This window comes from Homo sapiens, chromosome 11 (genome assembly GCF_000001405.40).
Source record: "Homo sapiens chromosome 11, GRCh38.p14 Primary Assembly".
Taxonomy (NCBI): Eukaryota; Metazoa; Chordata; class Mammalia; order Primates; family Hominidae; genus Homo; species Homo sapiens.
In genome coordinates, this window is record NC_000011.10 from 98,598,645 (window position 1) to 98,602,583 (window position 3,939).

At 39.9% G+C, this 3,939-nt stretch overlaps 1 annotated feature.

The window, feature by feature from the left end:
- Nucleotides 2,683-3,182: an enhancer, noted in NCBI's record as "H3K27ac hESC enhancer chr11:98472057-98472556 (GRCh37/hg19 assembly coordinates)". NCBI's record gives its function as "activates a minimal SCP1, AML or CMV promoter by ChIP-STARR-seq in naive H9 embryonic stem cells {active_cell/tissue: H9 hESC(naive)}" and the evidence as "EXISTENCE:reporter gene assay evidence [ECO:0000049][PMID:30033119]".

Here is a 3,939-nt window from a genome sequence, read left to right on the forward strand (position 1 = left end):
AATTTCTTCATTGACTCTCTGGTCACTCAGGAGCATTTTAATTCATTTTCATGTGTCTGTATAGTTACCTAAATTTCTATTGTTATTGATTTCTAGATTTATTCCATTGTGTTTAAAGAAGATAGTTGATTTTATTTCAATTTTTGAAATGTTAAAGACTTGTTTTGTGGCATAACATATACTCAATCCTTGGGAATGGCCCATGGGCTGAGAAGAATGTATATTCTATAGCCAGTGCATGAAATGTTCTGTAAATATCTATTAGGTTTATTTGTTCTTTAGTGTAGGTTAAGTACAATGTGTCTTTTTGATAGTGTCTAGATGATCTGTCCAATGCTGAAAGTGTGGTGTTGAATTCTCCAGCTATTTTTATATTGACTTTTGTCTTTCTCTTTTGCTCTAATAATATTTGCTTTATATATCTAGGTGCTCCAGTGTTGGGTGCATATATAGTTATACTTTTTATACCCTCTTACTGAACTGACTGCTTTTTCCTTATATAATGACATTCTTTCTGTCTTTTTAATAGTTTTTGTCTTGAAATCTATATTGTCTGATATGTTTAGCTATTCTGGCTCCTTTTTGGTTTCCATTGGCATGAAATATCTTTTTCTGTCGCTTTATTTTCACTCTATATGTATCTTGATAGAGAAAGTGTGTTTCCTGTAGGCAACAGGACATTGGGGCTTGTTTCATTTTTTTAATCTATTTAGCAACTCTATGTCTTTTCATTGGAGAGTGTAGTCAACTAACATTCAATGCCATTATTGATAAGTAAGGACTTAGTCTGCTCCAGACATATTGGAATGCCTTTGCATGTTATTTGTTTATTTTCCCTTGCTGCTTTTAGGATATTATATTTATTCTTGACCTTTGGCAGTATGATTATTAAATACCTGGAAGTAGTCTTATTTGGGTTAAGTCCCCTTGGTGTTCTGTAACCTTCTTGTACTTGAATATTGATATGTGTCTCTAGGTTTGGGAAGTTCTCCATTGTTACCACTTTGAATAAATTTTCTTCCCCAATCTCTCTATGTCCTTTTTATGGCCAAAACTCTTAGATTTCCCCTTTTGAGGTATTTCCTAGATCTTCTAGGCATGCTTTATTATTCTTTATCATTTTTTCTTTTGTCTTCTTTGACTGTATTTTCAGATAGCCTGTCTTCAAACTAAGTATTTCTTCTGCTTAGTTAATTCTGCAGTTAAGAGACTCTGATGCATTCTTCAGTATGTCCTTTGCATTGCTCTACTCAATAAGTTCTGCTTGATTATTTTGAATTATTTCAATCTCTTTGCTAAATGTATTTAATAGGATTCTGAATTCCTTCTCTGAGTTATCTTGAATTTCATTTCACTTCCTCAGAAAAGCTATTTTGAATTATCTGTGTGAAAGCTCACATGTCACTGTAGCCATATCAGCTTTGGGGAACACCCAAAGCCCAGTGATGTCGTGGCTCTTGCAGACTCAGAAATACTACCTTGGTGGTCTTGTGTATAATCTGGAAGAATTATCTGAATTACCAGGCAAAGACTCTTGTTCTGCTCCTTTACTTTTCTGCAAGCAAACAGAGTATCTCTGTCTTTGCTGAGCTGCCTAGAGCTGGGGGAAGGGTAATAAAAGCACCCGGGTGGCCACCACCATTAAAACTATGCTGAGTCAGACACAAAGCCAGTACAGCACTGGGTCTTGCCAAAGGTCTGCAGTGACCACTACCTTGCTATTACCTGTTTATTCAAGGCCCTTACAATCAGTAGGTGACACATGGAGCCATGCTCGTGTCCTTTCCTTCAGGATGGCAAGTTTCTTCAGCCCTGGGTAGGTCCAGAGTTGCCTCCCAGGAGCCAGGGCGTGAAGTTGAAAACCTATGAAATCTAACTGGTGCTCTCTTCTGCTGCAGCTGAGCTGGCACCCAAGCCATGAAACAAAGTCTTTCCTATTCTTCTCTCCCCTTTCCTCAAGAAGGTGATTCTCTTTATATGGCCACTATTACCCCAGGTCCACATCTACGTCTTTGCTGCTGATGTTCACTAAACATCCAGGGGCCCTTCAGTCAGCTTATGGTGAATGCTGTCCATCCTGAGTCTCTCCCTGAAGGGAAGTAGGCTCCCTTCTGGCCTAGGGAAGGTCCAGAAATGCCATCCAGGAGCCAAGGCCTGGTATGAGGGACCCTGGGAACCCACTTGATATTCTACCCCACTGTGGCCAAGCTGGTACCCAAGCTGGAGACAATGCCCCTTTACTTTTCCCTCTCCTTTCGTCAAACAGAAGAGGAGGTCTCTCCCTGTAACCATCTCAGGCGGGAATGTGCTGAGTCACATCTGATGCCAGCATAGCTCTGAGTCCCACCCAAGGCCTGTAGTGGGTACTGCTTGGCTACCACTACTGATTATACAAGACAAGGGCTCCTAAGTCAGCAGGTGATAACTTCTGCCAGGACTGGGTGCTTCCCTTCAAGGCAGTGGCTTCCCTTCTGGCCCACAGTGTCTCTAGAAATGTGGTCTGGGTGCTAGGGCCTGGAATGGGGACCTCAGAGCTCTACCTGCTACTTCCTTCTACTGTGGCTGAACTGGTATCAAAGCTGCAAGACAAAGTTCTCCTTACTTGCCCCTCTCCTCTCGTCAAGCAGAAGAAATGAGTGTCTCCTCGTGCTGGGAGCTGCGGTGCTGGGGTTAAGGGAGGGGTGATGCAATCACTCAAATTGGCTGTTCCAGCTGGTACCTTACTAGGTCACATGCACCCCAAGTCCACTGGCTTCAAGCCCAGCACAGAGCCCGGGGATTGCAGTCCTTGTGGTGTATACTGCCTTTCAAGTTTATTTAGTACTCCAGAGTACATTAGCCCACAGTTGTGGGGCTTGCCAGAACTCAAGTTTTGACTGCCAGGATGGGCAATTCCTTTACGGCTAGGGCTGATCCAAATGCTCCTTCCATAGTCCCTGGCTGAGCTCCTCTCTGTTTTACTTTCTGTTTTGACAGGGCAGCACTGAGTTCCAGTGCAATATCCTACAATCATTGTGCTTTCCTTCTCCCAAGCTCGCAGATTTTCTTTCAGTGCCACAGTGAAAGGAATAGAGAATGGGTGGTGCAGATGATTCAAGACTGTCTTTCCTATCCTCTTCAGTGTGTCTTTTTTGAATATAATGTTAAAACCAGGTACTGTGATCTCACCTGATTTTTGGTTCTTATAAAGGTGATATTTTTTGTGAATAGTTGTGCAATTTGGTGTTCCTGCAGAGGGGGGTGATTACTGGTGACTTCTATTTTGCCATCTTGCTCTGCCTCCAAACAAAAATTTTAATTTTAATGATGTCCAGTTTATCAACGCTTTCTTTCATGGATTGTGCCTTTGGTGTTGTATCTAAAGCATTATCACCAAACCCAAGGTAACCTAGATTTTCTCTTATGTTATCTTACAGGAGTTTAATAGTGTTTTTGTTTTACACTTAGGTCTGTAATCTATTTTGAGTTATCTATTTTGAGTTAGTTTTTGTGAAGGGTGTAACAATAGTGTCTAGATTCATTTTATTTTTGTGTATTAATATCCATTGTTTCAGCACCATTTGTTGATAAGACATCCATTATGTTGCCTTTCCTCCTTTGCCAAAGATTAGTTGACTGTATTTATGCAAATCTATTTCTGTTCTATTAACCTATTTGTCTTTTTTCTTTTTTCAAACAACACACTCTCTTTTACAATAAGTCTTGGAGTTGTGCAGTATCAATTATCTAACTTTGTTATTCGCCTTGAATATTTTTTGGTTATTCCGGGTTTTTTTCTGCTCCAAAGAGAATTTACAATTGGTTTGTTCATATCCAAAATAACTTGCTGAGGAAAAGTTGTTTTTGTTTTATTGTTGGATAGTATTTTGTTCCTATTGAGTTATAAACTATATGTAATTAATTTCTTCAATATAATTTTAATTTTTTTGGCTTTGCTGA